The 27,055-nt window shown below is 48.3% G+C and overlaps 3 protein-coding genes across 53 annotated transcripts in view, besides 4 other annotated features; 1 reads left to right on the forward strand and 2 right to left on the reverse strand.

The window, feature by feature from the left end:
• Nucleotides 1-953: 953 nt before the first annotated feature.
• On the reverse strand, nucleotides 954-11,051 carry EXOSC1 (exosome component 1). 9 transcript variants are annotated; one of them, NM_001318365.2, is made up of 9 exons: nucleotides 11,000-11,051; nucleotides 10,777-10,892; nucleotides 10,498-10,651; nucleotides 8,282-8,356; nucleotides 6,216-6,304; nucleotides 3,708-3,748; nucleotides 2,745-2,795; nucleotides 2,236-2,320; nucleotides 954-1,596 (listed from the first exon to the last, which is right to left on the reverse strand). In NM_001318365.2, the coding sequence occupies exons 5-9, from the start codon at nucleotides 6,259-6,261 to the stop codon at nucleotides 1,490-1,492; spliced, it is 330 nt and encodes a 109-aa protein (NP_001305294.1). In that variant the 5' UTR covers nucleotides 6,262-6,304; nucleotides 8,282-8,356; nucleotides 10,498-10,651; nucleotides 10,777-10,892; nucleotides 11,000-11,051; the 3' UTR covers nucleotides 954-1,489. The 9 variants fall into 9 exon arrangements, 7 of the variants coding, with proteins under 7 accessions (NP_001305294.1, NP_057130.1, NP_001305295.1 ...); NM_016046.5 differs by lacking the exon at nucleotides 10,498-10,651 and having other exon boundaries at nucleotides 3,715-3,748; NM_001318366.2 differs by lacking the exon at nucleotides 10,498-10,651.
• Nucleotides 10,180-10,760: an enhancer, noted in NCBI's record as "H3K27ac hESC enhancer chr10:99204892-99205472 (GRCh37/hg19 assembly coordinates)". NCBI's record gives its function as "activates a minimal SCP1, AML or CMV promoter by ChIP-STARR-seq in primed H9 embryonic stem cells {active_cell/tissue: H9 hESC(primed)}" and the evidence as "EXISTENCE:reporter gene assay evidence [ECO:0000049][PMID:30033119]".
• Nucleotides 10,761-11,340: an enhancer, noted in NCBI's record as "H3K27ac hESC enhancer chr10:99205473-99206052 (GRCh37/hg19 assembly coordinates)". NCBI's record gives its function as "activates a minimal SCP1, AML or CMV promoter by ChIP-STARR-seq in naive and primed H9 embryonic stem cells {active_cell/tissue: H9 hESC(naive and primed)}" and the evidence as "EXISTENCE:reporter gene assay evidence [ECO:0000049][PMID:30033119]".
• Nucleotides 10,761-11,481: a biological region, named in NCBI's record as "H3K27ac hESC enhancer GRCh37_chr10:99205473-99206052".
• ZDHHC16 (zDHHC palmitoyltransferase 16) lies at nucleotides 11,220-22,415 on the forward strand. Of its 21 annotated transcripts, none has more exons than NM_198046.3 (12): nucleotides 11,220-11,398; nucleotides 15,402-15,581; nucleotides 16,716-16,963; nucleotides 17,135-17,329; nucleotides 17,460-17,548; nucleotides 17,940-17,968; nucleotides 18,575-18,708; nucleotides 18,844-18,891; nucleotides 19,759-19,844; nucleotides 20,705-20,828; nucleotides 21,019-21,089; nucleotides 21,822-22,415. In NM_198046.3, the coding sequence occupies exons 3-12, from the start codon at nucleotides 16,721-16,723 to the stop codon at nucleotides 21,934-21,936; spliced, it is 1,134 nt and encodes a 377-aa protein (NP_932163.1). In that variant the 5' UTR covers nucleotides 11,220-11,398; nucleotides 15,402-15,581; nucleotides 16,716-16,720; the 3' UTR covers nucleotides 21,937-22,415. The 21 variants fall into 21 exon arrangements, 20 of the variants coding, with proteins under 20 accessions (NP_932163.1, NP_001274732.1, XP_016872255.1 ...); NM_001287803.2 differs by having other exon boundaries at nucleotides 20,759-20,828; XM_017016766.2 differs by lacking the exon at nucleotides 18,844-18,891.
• Nucleotides 11,272-11,481: a silencer, noted in NCBI's record as "silent region_2678". NCBI's record gives its function as "represses an Ori minimal core promoter by ATAC-STARR-seq in GM12878 lymphoblastoid cells {active_cell/tissue: GM12878}" and the evidence as "EXISTENCE:reporter gene assay evidence [ECO:0000049][PMID:35858748]".
• A 953-nt stretch (nucleotides 22,416-23,368) lies between the features above and the next one.
• The window catches only part of MMS19 (MMS19 cytosolic iron-sulfur assembly component), a 40,471-nt gene continuing 36,784 nt past the window's right edge, over nucleotides 23,369-27,055 (reverse strand). For 21 of the 23 annotated variants that reach the window (NM_001289405.2, XM_047425624.1, NM_001289404.2 and 18 more), the window contains 10 exons: nucleotides 26,873-26,941; nucleotides 26,541-26,667; nucleotides 25,952-26,052; nucleotides 25,740-25,796; nucleotides 25,091-25,277; nucleotides 24,704-24,786; nucleotides 24,407-24,571; nucleotides 24,268-24,327; nucleotides 23,845-23,945; nucleotides 23,369-23,764 (listed from right to left, as the gene is read on the reverse strand). In NM_001289405.2, the coding sequence (NP_001276334.1) occupies nucleotides 23,737-23,764; nucleotides 23,845-23,945; nucleotides 24,268-24,327; nucleotides 24,407-24,571; nucleotides 24,704-24,786; nucleotides 25,091-25,277; nucleotides 25,740-25,796; nucleotides 25,952-26,052; nucleotides 26,541-26,667; nucleotides 26,873-26,941 (978 nt within the window). In that variant the 3' untranslated portion in view covers nucleotides 23,369-23,736. Of the gene's footprint in view, nucleotides 23,765-23,844; nucleotides 23,946-24,267; nucleotides 24,328-24,406; nucleotides 24,572-24,703; nucleotides 24,787-25,090; nucleotides 25,278-25,739; nucleotides 25,797-25,864; nucleotides 26,053-26,540; nucleotides 26,668-26,872; nucleotides 26,942-27,055 lie in introns of those variants that run through there. The other 2 variants (XM_047425626.1, XM_047425625.1) reach the window with 1 other exon arrangement.

Consider the following 27,055-nt stretch of genomic DNA (forward strand, 5'->3'; position numbering starts at 1 on the left):
CCAGCACTTTGGGAGGCCAAGGCAAGTGGATCACCTGAGGTCAGGAGTTCAAGACCAGCCTGGCCGACATGGTGAAACCTCATCTCTACCAAAGGTTAGCTGGGCGTGGTGGCGCATGCCTGTAGTCCCAGCTACTGGGAAGGTGTGGAGGCTGCAGTGAGTTGAGATCGCGCCACTGCACTCCAGCCTAGGTGACAGCGAGACTCTGTCTCAAAAAAAAACAAGAATAAAAACAAAAACCTGGATGTGGATCTACAATGATCTCAATCTCTAAAATTTTCAACTATAGAAACCCTAATATTCAAGGTTAGGAAGTAGAGGATAGAAACTAAGGTGGGCTGATTCTAAAGCTCACATTACGCACGGTCACTAAATACTGAAGACACAGGCTTCCTGAATAACATCTCAAGAAGTGACATCTCAGACTCATATTTCGTCGGCAACCTCTCCATGCTTAACTCTCATCCCTTCCTCATCCCCAAACTTACGCCTTCATTTCTGCTTCTGCATTTAGCCTGGGCTTGTCTCTCTGCCTTGAATATCTTCACTTACTTTTATGTTCTTTAATTTATTTTGATCTCACGTCACTAATCCTTTCCTGGCCACCTCATATGACAGTACTCTGTCCCACTTTTCAATTCAGATTTAACATTTCCTGGAGTACCCACTATATCAGTGATGTGTATCAAATACTTTTAGACATGTTATTTATTTATTTATTTTGAGACAGAGTCTCGCTCTGTTGTCCAGGCTGGAGTGCAGTGGTGCAATCTCGGTTCACTACAACCTCTGCCTCCAGGGTTCAAGCGATCTTCCTGCCTCAGCTTCCTGAGTAGTTGGGATTACAGGCATGTGCCACCACGCCCGGCTAATTTTTGTATTTTTAGTAGAGATGGGGTTTCACCATGTTGGCCAGGCTGGTCTCAAACTCCTGACTTCAACCCAACTCGGCCTCCCAAAGTGCTGGGATTTACAAACATGAGCCACCATGCCTGCCTCACATGCTATCTGTATCACCACGTGTCCTCAAATTTTCATTAAATCACAATGTACCTAAATGAAGGGGACGTATGTAAAGCACCTGACTCAGTGCCTAGCACAGTAAGTACTCAATAAGCAGAAGTACTGAAATGTCCTGACACCATTTAGATGTCTTTCTCTGCTTAAGACAACAGACTCTATAACATCCTTTTAGTAAAAAAGTTTTATCATAGCAAAAAATATGTATTTATAAGGACTGTCAGGAGGGATAGGCTATTTCCAATATCACAGTTTTGTTTGTTGGTGCCTTGAAAAGATAAGATTTATTACTCAAGAGAATGAAATCCACTGATAGGTTCACAGAAACATGTTCCATCTACAGCGTAAACTGGAAGATTTTTCTGGAAGTGGCTGTTGGCCGACGCCAGGTGTTTGAATAAAGACAGCAGCATCTTGGTGTTATACTCAGGAACAGCTTACCCCCTTCCATAGGGTAAAAAGTGGCTTCTTAGGTCTGCAAGAATTCGGGTTGTACTCGGGCTACTTTCCGGAATTCTTTAGTGTGGGTCTTAGGGCACTGCATCTCACACCAGCTGATGGGAACCATCTGGATACCTGGAAGGGAAAAGCTGGTGGTGGAGCCCAGACCCCAAAGATTTGCCTGCGACTCCTCTTTTATGCTGGGTATGAAGCTGAAGTGCCACCAAGCTTCCTACTGAACCTCAACTCATAAAGAAAAAACTTTGTTCATTCTACTGACTTATGAAGTGAGTCCCGTTTCCTTGGATTTATATAAGGAGAATCAGGCTGGGCGTGGTGGCTCACACCTGTAATCCCAGCACTTTGGGAGGCCAAGGCGGGCAGATCATTTGAGGCCAGGAGTTTGAGACCAGCCTGGCCAACATGGCGAAACCCTGTCTCTACTAAAAATACAAAAATTAGCTAGGTGTGGTGGCGTGTGTCTGTAATCCCAGCTACTTGGGTGACAAGAATTGCTTGAACCAAGGAGGTGGAGGCTGTGGTGAGTGGAGATGGCACCACTGCACTCCAGCCTCCTCGACAAAGTGAGACCCTGTCTCAAACAACCACCACCACCAGCACCAAGCAAAAAAGAAAAAAATAATCATTCTAATCTCAGAGGGAAATATCTATAGCCATACTGCTTCCCAGATAAGGGAAACCAGGAAAAACAATGGATTTATCCCAAACCATAGATCCAGGGAAAGTAAGGATGTGGAAACAAGGCCATCTCACCTGACTCACTGTGGGCTACCACCACTCCCAGCTCGTTCTCGGCGGTGGTTAGCAGGTAGTTGGACTGTGCATCACCTAAGGAGATCTAGTCACATAACACCGGTGAAGGAAAATGAGGAGTTAGAAGTCTTCCCCCACCTTAGCCACCTGAGTTGTTTTTCTACCTTTTTTTTTTTCTGAGATGGAGTCTTGCTCCGTTAACCAGGCTGGAGTGCGGTGGCGTGATATCAGTTCACAACCTCTGCCTCACAGGTTCAAGCGGTTCTCCTGCCTCAGCTTCCCGAATAGCTGGGATTACAGGCATGTGCCACCACGCCCAGCTAATTTTTGTATTTTTAGTAGAGACAGGGTTTCACCATGTTGTCCAGGCTGGTCTCGAACTCCTGACCTCAGGTGATCCACCCGCCCTGGCCTCCGAAAGTGCTGGGATTACAGGCATGAGCCACCACACCCGGCCTCCTTCTCTTCTTTTGACAAAGGACCAGAAGTCTGCTGGGAATAAAGGATACCACTTTGGCCAAGACAATGTCACCTGGGCGGAAACTCTTATAAATTTCAACCTGTAAAGAAAGAACAGGAATGTTAAGTGAAAGCTCTAGACTGGGTCTATATGAAACTGTGAACGCTTCTGGTAAAGCCAATCTACTTTCTAATCCTGGAGGGTAGAAATCATCATTACTCATGTCAAGTCAAGAACTTTTAATTGCTTCTACAGTATTATCATACAAATGAAAATTTTTTTTTTTTGAGATGGAGTCTCGCTCTGTCGCCCACACTGGAGTGCAGTGGTGCGATCTCGGCTCACTGCAACCTCTGCCTCCCGGGTTCAAGCGATTCTCCTGCCTCAGCCTCCTGAGTAGCTGGGATTATAGGTGCATGGCACGACACAGGCTAGTTTTTATATTTTTAGTAGAGACGGGGTTTCACCATGTTGGTCAGGCTGGTCTTGAACTCCTGACCTTGTGATCCGCCCACCTTGGCCTCCCAAAGAGCTGGGATTACAGGTGTGATCCACTGCACCCGGCCCTTTTTTCTTTTTTTTTAAGAGGTGGGATCCCACTGTGTCACCCAGGCTGGAGTGCAGTGATGCAATGGTAGCTCACTGCAGCCTTGGACTGCTGGACCAAGGGATCCTCCTGCCTCAGCCTCCCAAGTAGCTAGGACTACAGGTGCGTGCCACCACTTAACCTCAAACTCCTGGGCTCAAGCAATCCTCCAGCCACATCCTCTCAAGCAGCTGGGACTACAGGCATGAGCTACCATGCCTGGCCAATTTTTGAATTTTTAAAATTTTTGTAGAGACAGGGTCTCGCTATGTTGCCAGGGCTGGTCTTGAAGTCCTGGACTCAAGTGATCCTCCCGCCTCAGCCTCCCAAAGTACTGGGATTACGGGTGTGTGTGACCATGCCTGGCCTGAGATAATACTTTTAAGGGATTGAGATACGTAAAGCCATTAAAAAAAAAGAACCAACCAACAACCTTGTCTTTTTCAGTTGCTCGGACATCTTCCTTGCTATAAAAAAAGAATTAACAGAAAGATTAATTACCTGTGAGAAAGAATTTTTTTTTTTTTTTTTTTTGAGACAGAGTCTCCCTCTGTCACCCAGGCTGGAGTACAGTGGCGCAATTTTGCTCACTGCAACCTCCGCCTCCTGGGTTCAAGCAATTCTCGTGCCTCAGCCTCTCAAGCAGCTGGAATTACAGGCACGTCCGCCATGCCCAGCTAGTTTTTTGTATTTTTAGTAGAGATGGGGTTTCACCATGTTGGCCAGGCTGGTCTTGAACTCCTGACCTCAGGTGATCCACCCGCCTCAGCTTCCCAAAGTGCTGGGATTACAGGCATGAGTCACCTTGCCCAGCCTGTGAGAAAGAATTATTCTGTAGATTCCTAGTAAATAAAGAGCTACAAGAACAGACAGAACAAGTTGTAAATGGGACACAGCTGCTACCCAGAGGAGCAGGGTGGAGAAGCATCCTCAGACCACATGGAGAGGCAGTATCAATACCTCTGATTAGATAAAGGCAGATCGGATTTGGCAAGAAAGGATAAGGAATTTCGTTGCCTCAGGGCTTGAACAGAAGCACTATAGCAAGGGCCCCCAACTTCTGGTGGCCTGTGAGGAACCGGGCTGCATAGAAGGAAGTGAGTGGCAGGCAAGCTTCATCTGTATTTACAGCTGCTTCCCAATCGCATACATTACTGCCTGAGCTCCGCCTCCTGTCAGATCGAAGTGGGCATTAGATTCTCATAGAAGTATGAACCCTATTGTGAACTGCACATATGAGGGAGCTAGGCTGCCCACTCCTTATGAGAATCTAATGCCTGATGATCTGTCACTGTCTCCCATCACCCCCAGATGGGACCATCGAATTGCAGGGAAACAAACTCAGGGCTCCCGCTGATTCTATATTATGGTGAGCTGTATAATTATTTCATTATATATTACAGTGTAATAATAACAGAAATAAAGTGCACCATAAATGTAATGCACTTGAATCATTCTGCAACCACCCCCTCCATGGTCTGTGGAAAAACTGTCTTCCAAGAAACTGGTCCCTGGTGCCAAAAAGGTTGGGGACTGCTGCACTACAGAACCACATCAAATCCTGAGGCTGGAAAGGGCCTCAAAAGTTAGATTATCTGCCTGGCAAGAAATGTTTGTCCTTTCTCAAGGAAGCCACACGAAATCACCATCTCACCCACAAATCTTTTCAATGTTTTATAACCTCTGAGTTCAATCTATATTAAATTTTAAAGTGCTTCCTAAAATGCCTTCTACTTTTTTTTTTTTTTTTTTTGAGACGGAGTTTCACTCTTGTTGCCCAGGCTGGAGTACAATGGCACGATCTTGGCTCACCGCAAGCTCCGCCTCCCAGGTTCAAGTGATTCTCCTGCCTCAGCCTCCCTAGTAGCTGGGATTATAGGCATGTGCCACCACGCCTGGCTAATTTTGTATTTTTAGTAGAGACGGTGTTTCTCCATGTTGGTCAGGCTGGTCTCGAACTCCCGACCTCAGGTGATCCGCCCGCCTCGGCCTCCCAAAGTGCTGGGATTACAGGCATGAGCCACCACGCCCAGCCTGCCTTCTACTTTGGTTTGAGTCATCCTGACACTGCTAAACTTCAGCTTCACTCAATTCTTTTTGCTTTACCTTTTATTTATTTATTTGTTTTTTGAGACAGGGTCTCACTCTGTTGCCCAGGCTAGAGTGCAGTGGTGCAATCTCAGCTCACTGCAACCTCTGCCTCCTAGGCTCAAGTGATCTTCCTGCTTCAGCTCCACAAGTAGCTGGGAGTACAGGCACGCACCACCATGCCCAGCTAATTTTTTTTTTTTTTTTTTTTAAAGACAGAGTCTCGCTCTGTCCCCCAGGCTGGAGTGCAATGGCGCAATCTTGGCTCACTGCAACCTCTGCCTCCTGGGTTCAAGCGATTCTTTGGCTTCAGCCTCCTGAGCAGCTGGGATTACAGGCACACGCCAACATGTCCGGCTAGTTTTTGTATTTTTAGTAGAGACAGGGTTTCACCACACTGGCCAGGCTGGTCTCAAACCCCTGACTTTGTGATCCACCCACCTCAGCCTCCCAAAGTGATAGGATTACAGGTGTGAGCCACTGTGCCTGGCTAATTTTTGTATTTTTTACAGAGATGGGGTTTCACCATGTTGGCTAGGCTGGTCTCAAACTCCTGATCTCAAGAGATCCACCCGCCTCAGCTTCTCAAAGTGCTAGGATAACAGGCGTGAGCCACCGCGCCCAGCCTTTGCTTTACTTTTAAACCCTCTCGTTAATATTTTCCTTTTGTCCTAGATCATCCATGTATTTTTTGGATACTACTAGGGGAGAATCAAAGCACAAAGAAGAAAGAAAAACGGGCAAAAGAAAAATAGGAATTGTAACTGTTGCTCAAAATTCTGGTGTCCTAGTCTATCCTAATCTTATTCCAGTTGCTAAGGTATATGTGAAAAGGATACTTCTTACCGGATAGTTCCTCGAAAAGAGTTCTTAAGAGGCATGGACCCCACATACAGGATGTGTACTTTGGCAAAGCGTGAATTGATGCTAGAGACCTGCGGAATAGAGAAAAGATCAGCATCAGAGTATAAGCAGTTGTCAGCTCAAGGAGGCAGCAATAAACTGGGGATTACTAGGGCTTCAGTGCAAGCAACCCTACTAAGTAGAGAATTTAAGACAAATTAACTCCTACTTCTCTCTGCGTAAGTGACACATGTAAAGAGGAATAAGAGCCACTCTGGCCACCTGGTAGAGTTACTATGGGAAACAAAGGTGGTATGGGTTTTTTTTTTTTTTTTTTTTTGAGACGGAGTTTCACTCTTGTTGCCCAGGCTGGAGTGCAATGGCGCGATCTTGGCTCACCGCAACCTCCGCCTCCTGGGTTCAAATAATTCTCCTGCCTTAGCCTCCTGAATAGCTGGGATTACAGGCATGCACCACCATGCCCAGCTAATTTTGTATTTCTAGTAGAGACAGGGTTTCTCCATGTTGGTCAGGCTGGTCTCGAACTCCTGATCTCAGGTGATTCGCCTGCTTCAGCCTCCCAAAGTGCTGGGATTACAGGTGTAAGCCACTGCATCCGGCTGGGTTTTTTTTTTTTTTTTTAAATCTTTTCACAACTTGCCCTTCAGAGAGGTATAGACTTTTTAAAGTATAGATGGCTAACAATTAAAAAAAAAAAAAAAAAAGAGGCTGGACACAGTGGCTCATGCCTGTAATCCCAGCACTTTGGGAGGCTGAGGTGGGCGCATCACTTGAGGTCAGGAGTTCAGGACCAGCCTGGCCAACATGGTAAAACCCCACCTGTACTAAAAATACAAAAATTAGCCAGGCGTGGCAGCACATGCCTATAATCCCAGCTACTCGGGAGGCAGAGGCAGTAGAATTGCTTGAACCCAAGAGGCCAGAGGCTGCAGTGAGCCGAGATCGTGCCACTGCACTCCAGCCTGGGTGACAGAGCAAGGCCCTGTCTCAAAAAAAAAAAAACAGGAATGGCAAAAAATAAAGTCTTTTGCTTCTCTGCAGAAAAAGAACTCAGCTTCAGATGTTCAAAAATAGGCCTCCTAATCATCCTCTGGCATCCCTGTTTCCCAGACACAGGTAGAACTATGTATTCAGGGAATCAGCTCAGTGAAGGAACTATGCATGCCTGAACTTGGCTGCCTTGATTATTATCCTAGAAATCTGTAAGCCTGCACAGTCCAGTAAAACTTTCTGTGATGACAGAAAAGTCATGTGCTGACCAGTATAGCAACCACTAGCCACAAGTGGCTATTGAGTACTTGAAATGTGGCTAATGTGACTAAGGAAATCAATTTTATTTTTTTCTTGAGAGACAGAGTCTTGCCCTGTTACCCAAGCTGGAGTGATCATGGCTCACTGCAGCCTCAACCCCCTGGGCCCAAGCGATCTTCCTGCTTCAGCCTCCCAAGTAGTTGGGACCACAAGCATGTGCTACCATGCCTGGCTAATTTTTTATTCTTCTTCTTCTTTTTTTTTGAGACGGAGTCTCACTCTGTTGCCCAGGCTGGACTGCTGTGACGCAGGCTCACTGCAACCTCCACCTCCTGGGTTCAAGCACTTCTCCTGCCTCAGCCTCCCGAGTAGCTGGGATTACAGGCATGCACCACCACGCTAAGCTAATTTTTGTATTTTTGGTAGAGACAGGGTTTCACCATGTTGGCCATGATTGGCCAGGCTGGTCTTGAACTCCTGACCACAGGTGATCTGCCCACCTCGGCCTCCCAAAGTGCTGGGATTACAAGCATGAGCCACCATGCCCGGCAATTTTTGATTCTTTTTGTAGAGATGAGGTTTCACTATGTTTCCCAGGCTGGTCTTGAACTCTGGGCTGAAGCAATCCTCCTGCCTCGGCCTCTTAAAGTGCTAGAATTACCAGTGTGAGCCACTGTGCCCTGCCAGAAATAAATTTATGTAGCTTGTGGCTATCATACTGGACACTGCAGTTCTGGTATGGTCATGATTTCAGTATTGAATGGGCATTCTAAGCATGGAGGTCAGGACCAACTTACCTTACAGGTTACAATAGCTCCCACATCTGGCAGTAACTGGGACTCTGTTTCTCTCACTACAGACACCACTGGAAGCTACAGAGGGAACAACAAAAAACTGAAATGTCCTGACTAACCCTTGGGTCAAGGCATTTGTGGCTTGAGAGTAATATAGGAATGTCTTGGTATAAAGGTGAGAGTTGGAGTATGGATTCATTTATAGCCCAGAGCAGAAGGCCTTAGAAATTTTAGGAAATAGGAGGACCAGGAGGCTACAGAATGCTGCTAGAAGACATACATCTCTAAACTTCTTTTTTTGTTGTTGGAGACGGAGTCTTGCTCTGTCGCCTAGACTGGAGTGCAGTGGCACGATCTCGGCTCACTGCAAGGTCCACTTCCCGGGTTCACGCCATTCTCCTGCCTCAGCCTCCCGAGTAGCTGGGACTACAGGCACCCGCCACCATGCCCAGCTACTTTTTTTTGTAGTAAATCTCTAAACTTCTAATAAGTTTTTTGGTGATTCTCTCAGAATTTCTTGGTATACAACTATATTGCCTATAATCATTGACAATTTTACTTTTTTTGTTTTTTTTTGAAATGGAGTTTCACTCTTGTTGCCTAGGATGGAGTGCAAGGGTGCCATCTTGGTTCACTGCAACCTCCACCTCCTGGGTTCAAGTGATTCTCCTGCCTCAGCCTCCCGAGTAGCTGGGATTACAGAAGCCTGTCACCATGCTCGGGTAATTTTTTGTATTTTTAGTAGAGATGGGGTTTCACCATGTTGGCCAGGCTGGTCTCGAACTCCTGACCTCAGGTGATCCACCTGCCTTGGCTTCCCAAAGTGCTGGGATTACAGGTGTGAGCCACTGCGCCCTGCCGACAATTTACTCTTTCCTCCAAAGTTATACTGCTTCCTTCTGTTTCTTATTTTATTGCACAGGCTGAAATTTCCACAAAAATGTTACATAATAGCGGCTATGCTTGTTTTCTTCTATTTTAAGTGAATACTTGCAGAGTTTTCTCTTTGAGCATGGTATTGGCTGTTGGTATAAGACAGATATTTTGAGCCTCATCTTTTATCAATCTCTCCGTTGCTCACAATGCTTCAGCTCTCCTGGCCTTCTTTCAGTTTCCCCAACTTACTAAATTCTTCCCACTTTCAGATCTCTCTTCAACCTATTCTTTCTGCCAGAGCTGCACTCTCTCCACCCACCTGACTCTTACCTACTCTTTAGATGATTCAGCTTAAATGTCACTTCTGCTGACTAGGATGGGTTTGCCTGTTACATGTTCTCAAGGTGCCCTGTAATATTCTTTCAAAGCACCACCACATATGTAACCATATGCTCATTTGAGCATTTATTTGTTTACAATTTGTGTCTGTGTCCTTTGATAGCAGAAACCAAGTCAGCGCTGTGCCTGACACATGAAAATACTCAAGTGATATCTATGAAATGAACAAACTCAGGACTGTTAAGAACATTCCCAACAATGACTGAATAGAAAGCCCCTTGAATCAGACAGCTTAAGTTACTTACTCAAAGCAGAATCAAAGTCAAGTTAGCCAGAACGTAACTGTTCTAATTCTGAATCCTCTTTCTATTGTGCTCCTTCAAATATTGCTTATATGATCCTGAGCTAATCCTGGATCTATCTCTGAAACTAGAAAGGTAGGTATTACTCACACATTCAACATTTATTGAGGAGCTGCCTTGTGCTATATACGGATGGTATGGTGGTAGGGCCTGCTTTCACGGACTTAGATTTAAGCAGGGGAGAAGTCTAGTAGGAAACATATACCTGAGTGTCTCATCATATGCTGACATAGTGCTTGGAAGAAAAGGAACAGAGTTTTTTGTGAGTCTTTAACAAAACAAACAAAAACAAAACACCCCACAAAACTCCTTTCCTCAATTAGTGGGTCCAGAAGGACTTCTCTGAGGTGATAGTAGAGAAGCTATCTAAAGGAGGTAGGAATTAAATAGGCCTAGGAAGATAGAAGCGTTCCAGATAGATGGCATGTTACAAAGGCTCTGTAGCAGGAGAAAGCTTGGCGCATTACCGACACTGAAAGAAGCTAGTATGTTATAAAAAATTTTTAAAGGGCAAGCAGAGACTGTGATTATAACTTTTAAACACAGAAAAGACAGTATGACTAGATTGCGTCAGTGAGGTGGAGATAGTGGCGCTAGATAAAGTCGGAAAGGTAAGCAACATTCATACAGTATGCAACTCACTGCTGGGCTGAGCTGGGCTGGGATGGGATACTGAGTTCGCATCTGCTTTTGTCCCAACTTCCCTCCCCGAGGGTCAGCAGCACAACCAAGCGAGATCAACACAACTAGTGTGTGGTGGCTAAGTGCACCACAGCGGCGATACGGCTAGAAGAAACTAAGAGACCAACATTGTACCACTGAGGCACTAAAGACGCGTCCGCAGTGCCCATGCCTAAGGACTGGAACTCAAGGGCAGCCTAAGGGAAAAACAGAGGGGAGATGGCATGCCGCTTCCTTTACCGCGCCATTCTCGCTGCTCTTCATCAGACAGCCGGCAAGCGACGAAAAGATGTAGCCGTGGCGGGTGTAGGTGCCGCTGCCCGGGCTGCCCTCCTCCAAGTTACACAGACGTTCGCCTGCAGAAAAAATGCTGCATCGGTCACGGGCCCCCAGAAGCTGTAGGCCGTTTAGCCTTCTTGCTTCAGCCCCTATCCAGGACTCTGTACGGGAAGCGCTCACTTACCGGGGATGCAGTATCTCACAGGTGGCGCCATGATTGCCGCTGTCCCAAAACCAGGATGAAAACGAAGTCGATTTCTCATTGGCCAAACCCAGGCACAGTTCCGCAGTAAGACACGTGTCAATTGGTACTCTTTATCCTTGCGAGTAAACTCCATTTCCCAGGTTACCCCGGGACAAATCCGGGGGCGGAACTTCAGAGGTCCACGCTGGCGCCTGCGCGTGTGGTTGAGGATGGGCTGGCGGCGGGTCCGGGTCCGCTGCCTGGCGCTGCGGGCGGCGGGCCATGGTGGTTTGGATTGAGCCGGGCCCGGCCGGGGCGCCGAGTCGGAGGGGGTGGCAGTGAGCGGCGGCAGAGGCTACGGGGCTCGGTTTGGCTGACTGGGGAGTCGGCAGGCGGCAGGTAAGGGCGAAGCCTCGGCCCTTGCTCCCCATCCTAGTCCCTTTTTCTGGGTAGGGCACTGCCCTGGGGCCTTGTCTTGAGTGCGGGTTCCTGCTCTCTCCTCGCCCCGCCCTGCGGGGCCGTGCCCTCCTCAGCCCGAGCGCACCTTCCGAGCAATCGTTACGCTCAGAGCAGGAGGGAAGGAGGTCAAGCGACCCAACTCGTCTGTTTCACAGATATGGAACCTCAGATTCAGAGACAGGGTTTGACTTGTCCAAAATGATCAAGATAGTTAAGATAGAGCCCAAACTGGAACCCACGGTTTTTGACTTCCAGTCCATCGCAGTTTCACCTCGCGGCTGTCATTGAGAAATAAAACCTTTTCCCGGTTTTTTTGTTTTGTTTTTGAGGAGTCTCGCTCTGTCGCCAGGCTGGAGTGCAGTGGAGCGATCTCTGTTCACTGCAACCTCCGCCTCCCGGCATCAAGCGATTCTCCTGCCTCAGCCTCCCGCGCAGCTGGGACTTACAGGCGCGCGCCACCACGCCCAGCTAATTTTTGTAGTTTTAGTAGTGACGGGGTTTCACCATGTTAGCCAGGATGGTCTTGATCTCTTGATCCGCCCGCCTCGGCCTTCCAAAGTGCAGGGAGTACAGGCATGAGCCACTGCCTCCGGCCTTTTCCCGGTTTTTTAAACTGCAGCTTCCAGTCCTGCGGTCCGATCCTCTTCGCGGCCCCTCATCCCCACTTCAGTAAGCTTTCTCTGGTTGAAAAAGCCGAACTCTGGTTGTGTGGGCCCGTCATCAAAAGATAAGCAGCCCCAAAATAAAGTTGTTACTCTTTTTCTTCTCAGCGTGTTAGCCCAGAAGGGAGGTCTGCACATGAATAAAATGCTACTCTTTATTGATGTTGGGTATCTCCTACTTGAGATTGCAAACATCCTGAGAGCAGCGTCTTTGTCCAGATGACATTCGCCACGACTTTGATCTCAGTTCACCTGACTTCTGATGGCTTTGCCGTCTGTCCTTCCCTGTCCCCTCAGTCGACTTTCCCATTGGGAAACAGATGTGACTTAAAGCCATGGGAAGAGGGGAGTGTTGTGGCCAGCAATCTCCTCCAGTCTGGTGGCAGATGACCAGTATGGCCTGTGACTATTACTGAAGGATCAGAGTACTCGGGCTTGTGCTTGGGGTGGTAGTAAAGCTGCGCTTTGCTCTGTTTCCTCCCGTTCACTGAGATTAGCCCCTTCTCCCCTACACACATCTTTTTGAATTTTGCTTTACTTCTATTTCTTGAGATGAAAAGTCTGGGCCAGGTGCGGTGGCTCACGCCTGCAATCCCAGCACTTTGGGAGGCTGAGGCAAGCACATCACCTGAGGTCGGGAGTTTGAGACCAGCCTGACCAACATGGAGAAACCCGGTCTCTACTAAAAAAATACAAAATTAGCCAGGCGTGGTGGCACATGCCTGGAATCCCAGCCACTCAGGAGGCTGAGGCAGGAGAATTGCTTGAACCCAGGAGGCGGAGGTTGTGGTGAGCCCAGATTGTGCCATTGCACTCCAGCCTGGGCAACAAGAGTGAAACTCCATCTCAAAAAAAAAAAAAAAGAAAAGTCTGTGTGTTCAGTTGCGGCCCACTTACTACATATGTAATTTTCCTGGCATCCCATACCCCATTAGCTAATGGAGAGAGGCCCTAGCCTCAGACTTTGTTCACCCAAATCTGTATCTGTGCGTCTAGGAGCTTTCTGTTTACACGGTTGGGCTGATTTCTGGTTGGGCTTGTTTTCAAAAACGACTTCTAGCTCCTAAGTGCCATGATTTTAATAACAGTTTGTATTTCTCTCTTTATGAATCAGGAAGAATGATAACAGCAGACACTTATTTAGTGTTACCACATTGGCAGGAGTGTCCTTGCTGGTATTTGTAGGACAGATAGACATCTGGCCAGGCTTTCCACTTCTGCATCCCTCCAGGTCATTCATTCAACAAATATTTATTGAGTACTTCCATGAGCCGGGTATTGTGCTAAGTGCTTTATAAACATTTCATTTACACTTACCAAAGAAGTTTGCTCTTCATACCTGTGGGTTTCACATTGCTGATCCAATCCAACCATGGATTGGAAATATTTGGGGGCAGCTGGGCATGGTGGTTCGCTCACACCTGTAATCCCAGCACTTTGGGAGGCCAAGGCAGACAGATCACCTGAGGTCAGGAGTTCAAGACCAGCCTGGCCAACATTGCGAAACCCCGTCTCTACTAAAAATACAAACATTTGCTGGGCGAGGTGGCAGGTGCCTGTAATCCCAGCTACTTGGGAGGCTGAGGCAGGGAGAATTGCTTGAACCCAGAAGGCGGAGGTTGCAGTGAGCCGAGATCTTGCCACTGCACTACAGCCTGGGCAACAGAGCGAGACTTCATCTCAAAAACAAACAAAAAAAGTGTTTATGTGTAGCATTTACTTTGTATTAGGTATTATGAGTAATCTAGAAATGATTTAAAGTATATGGGAAGATACGTATAGGTTATATGCAAACACTATGCCATTTTATATCAGATTTGAGCATCCATGGATTTTGGTATCTGAAGGGAGGACTGGAACCAATCCCTCCGCAGATATGGGGGTTGACTGTATCTGTATAGTTACAGAATCATAAAAGGTTAGAGCTGGAAGGGACCTTAGCATTTAATCCTACTCCCTCACTGAATGTGAACACAAGGAGATTGAGTCCCAGTAGAGTTGAATGATTTGTCTGAGGTTACGGAACTGCTTAGGGACAGAATTGAACCCTAAAGAATTGGGTAAATCTGGTCTTTGAGGCAGACATTTCCTGCAGCGCTGAAGAATTTAGGACATGTTTAAGAATGATCTGAAAAGTGGAGAATAGAAGTTTTTTTTTTTTTTAAGACTAGAAGAGGTGTGAGGTAGTATATAATTCGAGTTTATTACAAACAAGGAGTGCATTGGATTTGCATGCCATTGCTACAAAAAGTATTTTGGCAAATAGGAAACTCTCCATGACCTATAGAAAGGGAATGAACAGCAGTGTGGACAGTCCAAAAGCCACCTAGATTTGTTGTGGGGTAATCTGTTTTGTCCCACTCTTACATTTGATTGTGGGTGTCTACTATTTTAAAAATTCATGCTACAAGCCAAATCATGCTTCCAAACAATAGGGGTGGAAGTTTGAGCGTGAGCTTTTAATTTTTTTTGAGGTGGAGTCTCACTCTGTCTCCCAGGCTGGAGTGCACTGGCGCGATCTTGGCTCACTGCAACCTCCACCTCCCGGGTTTCAGCGATTCTCCTGCCTCAGGCTCCCAAGTAGCAGGGATTACAGGCACGCGCCACCATGCCCAGCTATTTTTTTGCATTTCCAGTAGAGACAGTGTTTCACCACGTTGGCCAGGCTGGTCTCAAACTCCTGACCTCAAGTGATCCGCCTGCCTCGGCTTCCCAAAGTGTTGGGAGTACAGGCGTGAGCCACTGCGCCCGGCCTTTTTTTCTCTTTTCTACACTCCCCTTAATTCTTTTTTTTTTTTTTTTTTTTTGAGACGGAGTCTCGCTCTGTCGCCCAGGCCGGACTGCGGACTGCAGTGGCGCAATCTCGGCTCACTGCAAGCTCCGCTTCCCGGGTTCACGCCATTCTCCTGCCTCAGCCTCCCGAGTAGCTGGGACTACAGGCGCCCGCCACCGCGCCCGGCTAATTTTTTGTATTTTTAGTAGAGACGGGGTTTCACCTTGTTAGCCAGGATGGTCTCGATCTCCTGACCTCATGATCCACCCGCCTCGGCCTCCCAAAGTGCTGGGATTACAGGCGTGAGCCACCGTGCCCGGCCTCCCCTTAATTCTTTTAGCTTCCTAGGAGGTGGCAGGAATGGACAGTTTCTTTATCCTGGTGCTGAGCGTAGGTCCCTACTGAATTGTGCCTTCTCCTTCTCTGTGGACCTTGTCTGCTGAGTTTCTTTTCACCTTAGGGCTTACAGGGCTTGTGCAAGGAGGTAATTAAGTGTTTTCTTTGAAAGGTCTTTTGTGGGGATGAGCCAGGGTGCAAGGAGAGTACAATACTCCAGTTACCGAATTGAAACCATCCCTGCAGTGGAGCAGCCTCCTCCAGTTTCTGTTGGGTTTTGAGCTACCTGTTAAATAAGTCAGTGGGATTGTCAAGGACAAAGCCCTCCCTGGCTGCCTCAGGGCAAAATCAGGTAATTTTTTTTTCTGGTGAAAGTCTTTAATCTGCAGAACTGATGAAACTGTCATCGAAGGAATCTGTTAGCGCATCTGTGTCTTCTGTTCTGGTCATTGCCCAGGCAGCCGATCTCTTCCCATGGCTGTTGCATGAGGTAGAAACTGCATAGAGGAGATGGAGGCACTGGCAGAGGTGCCATAGAAGCAGTGAACTGGGAAGTCTGGTTGGGTATCTTGGGGCTAAGGCAGCAGCTGCAGAGAAGGTTCTTAAATGTCTAATTAGACTGGGGCAGTGGAGTCCATCAGAGAGGTCAGGACCCGAGGCCTTCATGAATCAACATGGAGGTCCCCTCCCATTGACTCCTTCCTGTGTTCTGCTCAGAATACCTGGAGTTGTCTTGGCTACCATTTCCTTGGGGTGGGGCTGGGAATGGAATTGGAGACAAAGCATTTTCTGTCATGCAAGGGGTAGCTGGCTGTCCTGACAGGAGACAGGGAATCTCCTGCTACCAGGTTGAGTTGGCTAGCCTGTGACATCAGCCCAGAGGGAGTAGGAAGAAGAGTATCTTTTGCCAAGACTTAAATAGCACCAGGAAATACCTCGGTACAGGATCCACATTCTGTGTACTCATTCTTCCATTGGCTGTTCTTTGGTGAGGAATAATCATCTGAAGGTAGGTTGATGCACTAGGGCAGTCAGGAAGCCCTGGCAATCTCTGCTACAGTGGCCATGCCCAGAGACACAGTGGACAGCTTTGTCCATGTTGGCCACACTCCACCCAAAAGTCTGTCTACACAGACAACTCCTAAGACTGCTTTGATTTGGAGTGGCCTTTCTCACCCCTTTCCTGTGGCCTGTTGCTTTAGGTGTGCATCACCTTGGATTTGCTATGCAACCATGTGGTGTAATTTAAGTACAATTTCTGCAGGCTCAGAACCATCAGTTTTACTCCCTTAATCTGGTTGGAACATTGGCACTGGTCAGTCCGTAGAAAAGTGAAGTAACCTTCCTACTTCTCACAGTTGGTGACTGGCCTAGCTGGGTCTTAGTCTTAGGTCTTTGCCCTCCAAGTGAGTACTCTAGGCCTTCCCACTAGCGGGGTAGGGAGGGAGGGCTCAGACTAGATCCTCACAATGGTGTGCTCTCGTAGGAACCATGCGAGGCCAGCGGAGCCTGCTGCTGGGCCCGGCCCGCCTCTGCCTCCGCCTCCTTCTGCTGCTGGGTTACAGGCGCCGCTGTCCACCTCTACTCCGGGGTCTAGTACAGCGCTGGCGCTACGGCAAGGTCTGCCTGCGCTCCCTGCTCTACAACTCCTTTGGGGGCAGTGACACCGCTGTTGATGCTGCCTTTGAGCCTGTCTACTGGCTGGTAGACAACGTGATCCGCTGGTTTGGAGTGGTGAGTGATGTCCAGGGAGCAGGAAAAGGGGTGTTGTGGGGAGCAGAGGGACATGTCTCTCACAGACCCAACCCAGGTTTTGGAGGCCGGCCCCCACCCCCAGGGAAACTCCGAGTCTCCTTTGGGCATAGCTCTTGCGCCATGTCTCCCTGACCTTGCTGGTGTTGGCAGGTGTTCGTGGTCCTGGTGATCGTGCTGACAGGCTCCATTGTAGCTATCGCCTACCTGTGTGTCCTGCCTCTCATCCTCCGAACCTACTCAGTGCCACGACTCTGCTGGCATTTCTTCTATAGCCACTGGAATCTGATCCTGATTGTCTTCCACTACTACCAGGCCATCACCACTCCGCCTGGGTACCCACCCCAGGTGGGTCCTCACAGGAGCACTGGGGGAAGTTGCTGGCTATGGGAGCTGGTCCCAGGAGTGGGGAGAGTATCTTGGTATAGTTTTGAGAGACAGAACTGGTGCTGCCACGTTATGCTCTCCCTTCACACAGGGCAGGAATGATATCGCCACCGTCTCCATCTGTAAGAAGTGCATTTACCCCAAGCCAGCCCGAACACACCACTGCAGCATCTGCAACAGGTGGGTCTTGGCTTTGCTCTCTGGGAATCCCAGCTGTGGTCCTTCTGTAGCCCTAGGGCAAAACCTAACCTTGAGTTTGCTAAGACATGGGTGAATCACCCATCGTGTCCCAGGTGATGTGCCCTCTTCTCCTGACACCTCATCCTTAGGATGGTCCTGTGAGTTAGGCATTATTACCACTTGTGAAAACCGAGGTTTGGAGAGATGAGTTACCTTGTCCAATATCTTATAGCCATTAAACTGCAGAGCTGGGTTTGAAGCAAGGCCTGGCTGTCTTCAAAGTCTGTGCCCTTTCCACCTCAGCAGGATGCTGGTCCTTGTAGGGAAGGATTGGCACTGACATCTCAAGAACTTTGGCCACCGTAACAGAGCCTGTGTCCCTTCCTCACAGGTGTGTGCTGAAGATGGATCACCACTGCCGTATCCTTTTGCTTTCTCTTCTGCCTGAGGCCTTCTTTAGCTCCAGAGCACTGTACAGGGTTAATGGCCACCATTTTAGCATCACCGTGCAGAGAACACTGGAGTTGAGGAGTTGTGGGGCCTGACCATCTCCTGGGAGAGCAGGAAGCTCACACTCTAGGACGGATCTTCTTGGAGCAGGGAATCTTTTAACACCTCTTTCTTTTCTAGACTCTCATGCTAACAGCTATTGGATGGAAAGAGATGTTTGGGCTTCTGTGGTTGTTTACTGTGTACGCCAGATAGAACCGTGGGTCTCCAGCTGCTGTTCCACACAGATGTTTGGCTAACTCCAGCTAGGCTGAAATATTGGCAGATTCATTTTACTGAAGGATTTCAGTTTCCGTGACTTCTTGGTGGGACCTGAATGCTCTGAAAAGCTTTGAGCATTTTCACCTCAACCTTGGGTGTGAACAGTCTTGTATTTTCTTGCCTTTGGAAAGTAGTTCTTAGTGACTGGAAGCCTGAGGCTTGGGTGATATTGTCAGGAACCAGGGATGAACCTGAGGGGCCTGGACACCGCCTGAAATTGTGTTTGATTCTAGTCCTTAATCATTTCCCAACCAGCCTGGCTAAACAATTGTGTGGGCCACTATAACCATCGGTACTTCTTCTCTTTCTGCTTTTTCATGACTCTGGGCTGTGTCTACTGCAGCTATGGAAGTTGGGACCTTTTCCGGGAGGCTTATGCTGCCATTGAGGTGAGCTCATCAGGAACAGGGCAGCTCAGTAGTGCAGAACTTCGGGATGTAGAACCTGTCCCTAAGGAATGGGGCTGGTAGCACCCCATCCTAGAGGCCTGAGAGTATAACCAGCACTGTTTTCCGTCCCCTTAGAAAATGAAACAGCTCGACAAGAACAAACTACAGGCGGTTGCCAACCAGGTGGGCTGTCCCCACCCCACTGCCTCCTGCTGCTCAGGCCTGGGGGTATAGAGTTGCTAAGGCATCTGGGGCCGACCTGCCCATGTAGTTGTAGAGGCTGCCGAGAGGCCACTCTAGACCAGATCAGGAGTGTTCAGGCAGGCTGGCTGTGGTGGGTAGACTAAGTGGCCTACAGGCAAGCTGGAAGTCCCTGGTATGTGACAGTTTTGGCTATCTATCCCGTCATCACCTCTCTTTGGGTCGAGCAAGCAATCTGCCTTGGTGATGGCCTGAGCAGCAAGGAGTCTATGTTAGTCTGTGTAATGGGGTTCCAGGGGACAGAGATCAGGCAGAGCCAGTCTGATCATCCCTTGCTCCTGGTCCATCTGCATCTGGATCATCCCTGCCCCCCCAGTACCTTTTAGGACTCCCTAATCTGCTGAGCCCATCTTGATTGTATTTCTGCTGCCCTTTCACAGTCCCTAGTGGAGCTCACAGTCCCTAGTGGTTTTCCCCACTCCAGTCAGTCCATTCTGGGTATGGTCTGGTCTCCTCTCTTGGGGATGCAGCTGTGCAGTGAAGGAGTTCTGGCTGGGGATTGGAGTGGCTTCCCCTGGAGCCCCATTTGTGTTGTCACTCTACAGGCCCAGGGTCAGCTTCTCCTGTGCTTCACCATCCTGTCCAGACCCTGCTCTGCTGCCCAGTGTTTGTCCATGTGGTGATGCCGCTGGGCTTGGTCCACCCATCTTGGCTGCTACCCTAACTCCTCTGTGGCTTTACCCTGTTTTCTCTGCCTGGATTTGGATCATTTCCTGCCTATAGGTGCTGGGGGCAGTTGCTGGAGACCCACAGAGCAAATGAGCCAGCTTTGCTGTTTTCTTTTTCTAGACTTATCACCAGACCCCACCACCCACCTTCTCCTTTCGAGAAAGGATGACTCACAAGAGTCTTGTCTACCTCTGGTTCCTGTGCAGGTATTTGTTTTTGATAGTTTTAAGGGAGGGGAAGCTTCAGAAAAAAAGTTTTTTAGGTGCCCACACGCAGGCAGAAACCCATTCCTAAGTGAACTGCCACTGCTCTAGTCTAACTTAGGTTGGCAGAGAGCCAGCACTTTCTTCAGCATTCAGGGCAGGGAGCACTGAGGATATTGGCATTGCTTATTACTAAGCACACAGATACAAGTATGTGCTTGATATGTAACCAAAGTAAGTTAAACTCCTTATTTAATCTTAGCACCTGTCTAAAGGCTGGGTGACTGTATTTATAGATGAGGAAAACTGAAAATTGGGGGCCAAGGGGCAGTGAAGTGAAGTGACTTGTTCTATGATACACAGCTAGTAGGAATATTAGCACTGGAATTTGAATTTCATGCCATCCCATTCCAACCCTGGGTGTTTACTACTTCCCACTATCTCCCAAGCATGGGTATTTTAGGAAATATAGAACATTTTCTCAGCAATACAGACTTATTTCTCTATTCTCCTTTCCACATACTCTCTTTTCCCTTAACAACAACAGAGATGGAGTCTTGCTATGTTGCCCAGGCTAGACTCAAATGATCTTCCTATCTCAGTCTCCTGAGTTGCTGGGACTACTAGGCATGAGCTACCATGCCTGGCTTCACATCATTTATTCTTAGGCCACTTTGATGCTTTTTCATTGATGCTCTTTATAGACATAGTGAAGTAAAAGTTTATCTAGGATATATGGTGGGAGGTGAGGAAGACTTAGGTAGAGAGGTTCCAAACCAGTTGTTACTGCTTAGCTCAATTTCAGACATACTTCCTCCAGCCCTCTCTAAACTACCCACCAGTCTTCGCCCCTCTTTTCTTAGTTCTGTGGCACTTGCCCTGGGTGCCCTAACTGTATGGCATGCTGTTCTCATCAGTCGAGGTGAGACTAGCATCGAAAGGCACATCAACAAGAAGGAGAGACGTCGGCTACAGGCCAAGGGCAGAGTGAGTAGGGTTGAAGGCTCGGGGTGGGTAGGTGGGTAACTGAACTTGCTCTCCTGTAAACAGAGGCCATGGGCAGGGCTGACTAGGGCAAGCATTGTAAAAGGCCAGAACTACTCTATCTGAGCTTTAGCTTAGCCAATTTAGTCTGAAAAATTAGAAGTTCAAAGAAACATGTTTTTCTTGGCTCCAGGTATTTAGGAATCCTTACAACTACGGCTGCTTGGACAACTGGAAGGTATTCCTGGGTGTGGATACAGGAAGGTAATGTAAGACACACAGACTAATGCTGTCCAACAGAACACTGTGATGAGAAAGATGTTCTATGCCTGTGAGCACTTGGAATATGGCTAGTGGCTACTGTGTTAGCACAGTTCTAGACTCTAGGAATAGAGATCATTGTCCATTTGAACCAGAAAGGCTTGAGGCCAATACTGTGTGGTTTTAAGTAACAGATGAGGCTTCAACGTGACTACAGTGGAATCCTAGGAAAGCTGTGCTCAGGAAGGGGCCTCTGGGTGTAGGATATGGTGGCCACCAGTCACCTCTCACTTGGAGAGCAGTGTCTAGAGTTCAAGCCAATAATTTGTGAGATTAAAATAATCTACTTGTCATAGAGGCCCTAAGACAGTAACTGGAGCTAGCTCTCTCAGCCCAAGACAAGGGGAAACAATTTTTCAAATGGCAGTTACTGAGGCGGTAACAATCAGATGAACAGACGTGCCTTCCCTCCTCCCTTTCCCATGTACATGACACTCCTATCACTGTGCTTACAGTGGACCTTTAGAAGTTTAGCTCGAAACCTTAAAAGGCCTTCAAAGGACCAAAAGGTACATTTGTTGGATAAAATTGGGTAGCAGAAATTAGAACTTTTGTTACTTTCATGATTGACACCGAGGTAGCTTCAGGATACCTTGATGTATGCTTGTTAAGGAATGATGATTGGGAAGGACCAAGAATTCTTGAACTCAGAGACATTTCTCTCTTCTCTTCTAGGCACTGGCTTACTCGGGTGCTCTTACCTTCTAGTCACTTGCCCCATGGGAATGGAATGAGCTGGGAGCCCCCTCCCTGGGTGACTGCTCACTCAGCCTCTGTGATGGCAGTGTGAGCTGGACTGTGTCAGCCACGACTCGAGCACTCATTCTGCTCCCTATGTTATTTCAAGGGCCTCCAAGGGCAGCTTTTCTCAGAATCCTTGATCAAAAAGAGCCAGTGGGCCTGCCTTAGGGTACCATGCAGGACAATTCAAGGACCAGCCTTTTTACCACTGCAGAAGAAAGACACAATGTGGAGAAATCTTAGGACTGACATCCCTTTACTCAGGCAAACAGAAGTTCCAACCCCAGACTAGGGGTCAGGCAGCTAGCTACCTACCTTGCCCAGTGCTGACCCGGACCTCCTCCAGGATACAGCACTGGAGTTGGCCACCACCTCTTCTACTTGCTGTCTGAAAAAACACCTGACTAGTACAGCTGAGATCTTGGCTTCTCAACAGGGCAAAGATACCAGGCCTGCTGCTGAGGTCACTGCCACTTCTCACATGCTGCTTAAGGGAGCACAAATAAAGGTATTCGATTTTTAAAGATATGTAGCTTCTCACTCTCTGCCTCACGATAGGGCAGGGAAGGGGAAAGTCAGGGTCAAGACCTAGTGAGTAGGTGTTCTGGTCATGCTTCCTACATTTTTTTTTTTTTTGGAGATGGAGTCTCACTCTGTCTCTCAGGCTGTAATGCAGTGGCGCGATCTTGACTCACTGCAACCTCCGCCTCCCAGTTTCAAGTGATTTTTTTTTTTTTTTTTTTTTGAGACGGAGTCTCGCTCTATATCACCCAGGCTGGAGTGCAGTGGTGTGATCTCGGCTCACTGCAAGCTCCGCCTCCCGGGTTCACGCCATTCTCCTGCCTCAGCCTCCCGAGTAGCTGGGACTACAGGCGCCCGCCACCACACCCGGCTAATTTTTGTATTTTTAGTAGAGACGGGGTTTCACTGTGTTAGCCAGGAGGTCTCGATGTCATGACCTTGTGATCCATCCGCCTCGGCCTCCCAAAGTGCTGGGATTACAAGCTTTACAGGCGTGAGCCACCGCGCCCGGCTCAAGTGATTCTTGTGTCTCAGCCTCCCAAGTAGCTGTGATTAAAGGCGTATGCCACCACACCTGGCTAATTTTTGTATTTTTAGTGGAGATGGGGTTTCACCATGTTGGCCAGTCTGGTCTTGAACTCCTGACCTCCACTGATCCATGCGCCTCGGCCTCCCAAAATGCTGGGATTACAGGCGTCAGCCACCATGCCCAGCTTAATTTTTTTTTTTTTTTAATTATTTGTAGAGATGGGTTCTTGCTATACTGCCAGGGCTAGTCTCAAACTCCTAGCCTCAAGTGATCCGCCTGCCTCAGCCTCCTGAAGTGTTGGGGTTACAGGCATGTGCTACTGTCCTGGTTACCCTGAAAAATTTTTGGCCAATCCCTGTCATTGTTATTCCAGTGATGCCTCTGGTTATATGAGGCATATGTGGGGTGGGGGAAATATCTGACAGCCCCATTACCAAAAGAAATCTTTATTCTTCAGCAGGTAGACAACATCTGCCAGCCCTGGTCCTCAGGGCCACACTCATATGCACTCACCCCTCAGCAGCATATCGCCCCTTTTCTGACATATAAATGCAAGAGACCCAGGACCCTAGATCTTTCTTCAAACGCAAGTGTCTCACACACACTTATTTTACAAATCCACTAGAAATATGGACTCTTATGTTCTTTGTACAGCCATGCAACAGAGGCCTAGCATTTGTGCTGTGTCTGTGGGAAAGGCAGTCAGAGACCAGTGGTTTCCCTGCTTTGGGGAAGATGGCTCAACAGTTAGTAATCCCAGGTTAGATTGTCAGAACAGTCTAGGCCAGGACTGAGGGCTCAGCTGCCAGGGCTCCCCAACAGAAACCTGTAGGCAAAAAGAAAGTTGGCAGCATTAGTGATGAGGCTCATCTTGGTCCCATCTCTCCCCACGACCTAGAAACTCACCACTCCCCTCTGGCTGACACTGCTTCCTTGCGCACCAGTCTCTTCTTGTCATCCAGGGGTTTGGCTAAGGCCCGAATCACCTGTGGTTTGTACGGCAGCAGCTGTGGAGTCAGAGGATATAATCAACCTTGCTCATCCAAGGCAACTGAAAGTACCGCTTTTTTGATTCTGTACAACTAATATTCTGAGGAAAGCAAAACATCTTTAGTGATTCCAAGGGATGTTAAGTGGCAGGATGGCCTTTCTGTTACCTTCTGGGCCCAAGGAAAAGAATCCTTGGGCCCAGAATTACAAGATCTGTACCTTGTAATTCAGATCTCAATTACACACCAGGGTGGCCAAGCCCACCTGACTAAGGCAAAAAGGTACTTATGTGTCTCTTGAGATGTTCCCAGGCCAGGGAAGGACACCTGAGGTACTTACCACAGGGGTGGGCAGGCGAGTGAGAGCATGCATGCACTGCAGTGCGGCGATCCGGACAGCCTGGAACACAACCACAAGGAGGTGAGAGCATGCCCAGGGAGAGATGCTGGTGCCTAAGAGTTGCTGGGGCTCAACGCACCATGGAAGGGCTAGAGCTGAGGTTCAGAAACTTGGTGACGAGGGTGTCCACGTGAAGACTCATGACTTGGGGTGCTTCCAGTAGAAGAGGCTGAAGGCAGCTGAGGGTGGAGAGCTGCACCACACAGTCAGGGCAGGACAGGGCCTCCAGCAGCAAGGAAAGAAGCTAAGGGGCAATGGGCAAGGTAGGGGATGGCCACATCATGAAGATCCTGGTTCTTGTTCCCTCCCCTTTCTAGCCCCATCTGGGGAAGAATAGCTTTGTCCTTTGCTTAGAAGCTCTGCCTGTGGGACTTACCGTGGGCAGCTCTGGCAAGAGTACAGGCTTGGGCAGCCTGTTAAGTACATGAGAAAGACCCTTCAAGTAGTTTGGCTTCACATCTGTAAAAAATGGAAAGGCTTAGGGGAGAAATTGGACTTAGATATATAGCTTGAGAAATCAATTCCAATCTGTGGTGAGGCTGAGACATCAGCCTACAAACGGGTGAAAGAGCCCTTCACGCTCAGAATAAGCAAGATACGCCCATGAAAGGAAGAAGTGGGACAAGAATCTAGAAGTTTAGTCTTCTAGGCACAGACCACAATATAGCTCTAAAGAAGCAAGCGGGCCCTAAATTATCTTAGGGAATGTGGCCAAGCAAAGGAGAGATGTGTATATGTGGGGACCTTCTTTCAGACTCCTCACCTTGGGGAGCAGCATGGAAGCCCTGGACCAAAGCAGGCACATTATCTGTGAAGAACCGCTGGCGGAACATGATCCGCACTTCGGCATGGCCAGCACGAGTCAGCACATCAGTGCAGTCAGACATGAGCAGAGAGAAGCCATCAGCTGCTGCTGGACCTAATTCTGGGTCACTCAGGAGGCCCATGAGCTGGAGAAAAAAGAGCCTTTGAGGTACATCAGGGAAGAAGAATCTTAAGTGCCAAAGATAAGGATGGGGCCGGGTGTGGTGGCTCATGCCTGTAATCCTAGCACTTTGGGAGGCCAAGGCAGGTGGACTGCTTGAGTCTAGGAGTCTGGGCAACATGGCCAAACCCAGTTCTTACAAAAAATACAAACATTAGTTGGGTGTGGTGGGGTGCCCCTGTAGTCCCAGCTACTTGCGAGGCTGAAGTGGGAGGATCACTTGAGCCTACGGAGGTTGAGGCTGGAGTGAGCTGTGATTGCACTACTGTACTCCAGCCTGGGTGACAGAGTAAGACCCTGTCTCCAAAAAGAAAAAAGAAAAGAAAACAAAAAACACACAGGGGAGGATGGAAGTCCTTGGGAGGAATAGGAGCAACCAGAAAGTTTGTTTAGGTCCTGGGTTCTTCTGTCTCCAGAAAGGACGTACCCGGGCTGTAAGGCAGGAGCTGAGAGGATGGTATCTGAGCACTAGGGCCTTTGTTACCTGTAATTGGAGACAGAGAGAGCAATTGGGGAATGACACTCAAACCCGAGAACCCTGAGACATAGATGTTTATGGTTTAGGGTCAAACAGGGACATTTTATTTAACCAGACATAATTGCCTCTCTGGCTAACCAGACTCCACTCCAACTCCTTACCCAGAGAAGAAGAGTGAAGGCCTGACTACGACAGGGCCCAGAGCCCAGGCCAGCCTCCACTTTGTCCACAGCTAGCTGTAGGAATTCATCCAGCTGCTGCCCTAAAAAGGAGAGAGGAAATGCTGACATAAAGGCTACACATTTTCCCTTTAGCAATGAAATGCAAATCACTTTAAGTGCAGAGCTCCCTGAGAAGCTGTTAGAAAGGGAAAATATCATTTTTGCCTGTGGACAAAATGATTGGACACCTGCATAAGAGCCTGGTATTCTCATAATACAGAGGTGCTGCCATTTGAAAAGAGAGGGTCATCTACTTCCAATAAAGAATTATCCACACTAGCCCCACTGTAGGGAGTAGGACGGCAGAACTAGACTCTTTGTGCTCCCTTCTCTTCTTAGGTACTATAAAGCTCTGCCCAACTGTGGTCTTGACGCTTTTCCCACGGGCAGTCCCAGGACAGTGCTTGAGCAGTTGAAGCCCTGTTAATGTTATTAGCAAGCTCCTTTTAAAAAGAGAATGAGTACTGAGCTATAAGATTTCATGGGTAGTTGATTCTGGGAGGCTCCTTACATAGTCTGATCTCAGTACCTGCAGGGTGCTTGTTGAGGAGTCCTGCAAAGCACTTGGCAGCAGCGGTGGAAGAAAAGGGGCAGCTGTGGCAGCAGCTCAGTTCCAAAAGCTCCCGCATGAGTTGGTTCAGCTGAGGGATTTCCACCTACAGAAAACCTGGCCATGTAATGGACCCAGAGAACACTTGAACTCCAAGAGAACCAGTACATAGTGGCAGCAGGGACCGGGACGGATGAGAACTAACTTCTCTGGTGGGGGAAGTAAAAGATCAGCTTAGCCTGTGGCAAATTTCAGCCCGGAGTCACCTTGTCAAGGTTAAATAACAGTACTTCCCAAATGTGCTCACTTACATTTCGAGGCAGGGAGCAGACAAAGGCCATAAGCAGTGCAATCAGCCGCCTCTGCCCTGAGGAGCCATCCTATAAAGGAAGGAGAGCCCGATCAAGCCTGCCAGCAATAAGCTTGTCTGCCCCTCTACCCATTCCAGATTAGCCCTAAAAAAAAACCAGCTTGAAGGATGTAAGTTCTAAGAC

The sequence above is a fragment of the Homo sapiens genome, chromosome 10, assembly GCF_000001405.40.
Source record: "Homo sapiens chromosome 10, GRCh38.p14 Primary Assembly".
Taxonomy (NCBI): domain Eukaryota; kingdom Metazoa; phylum Chordata; class Mammalia; order Primates; family Hominidae; genus Homo; species Homo sapiens.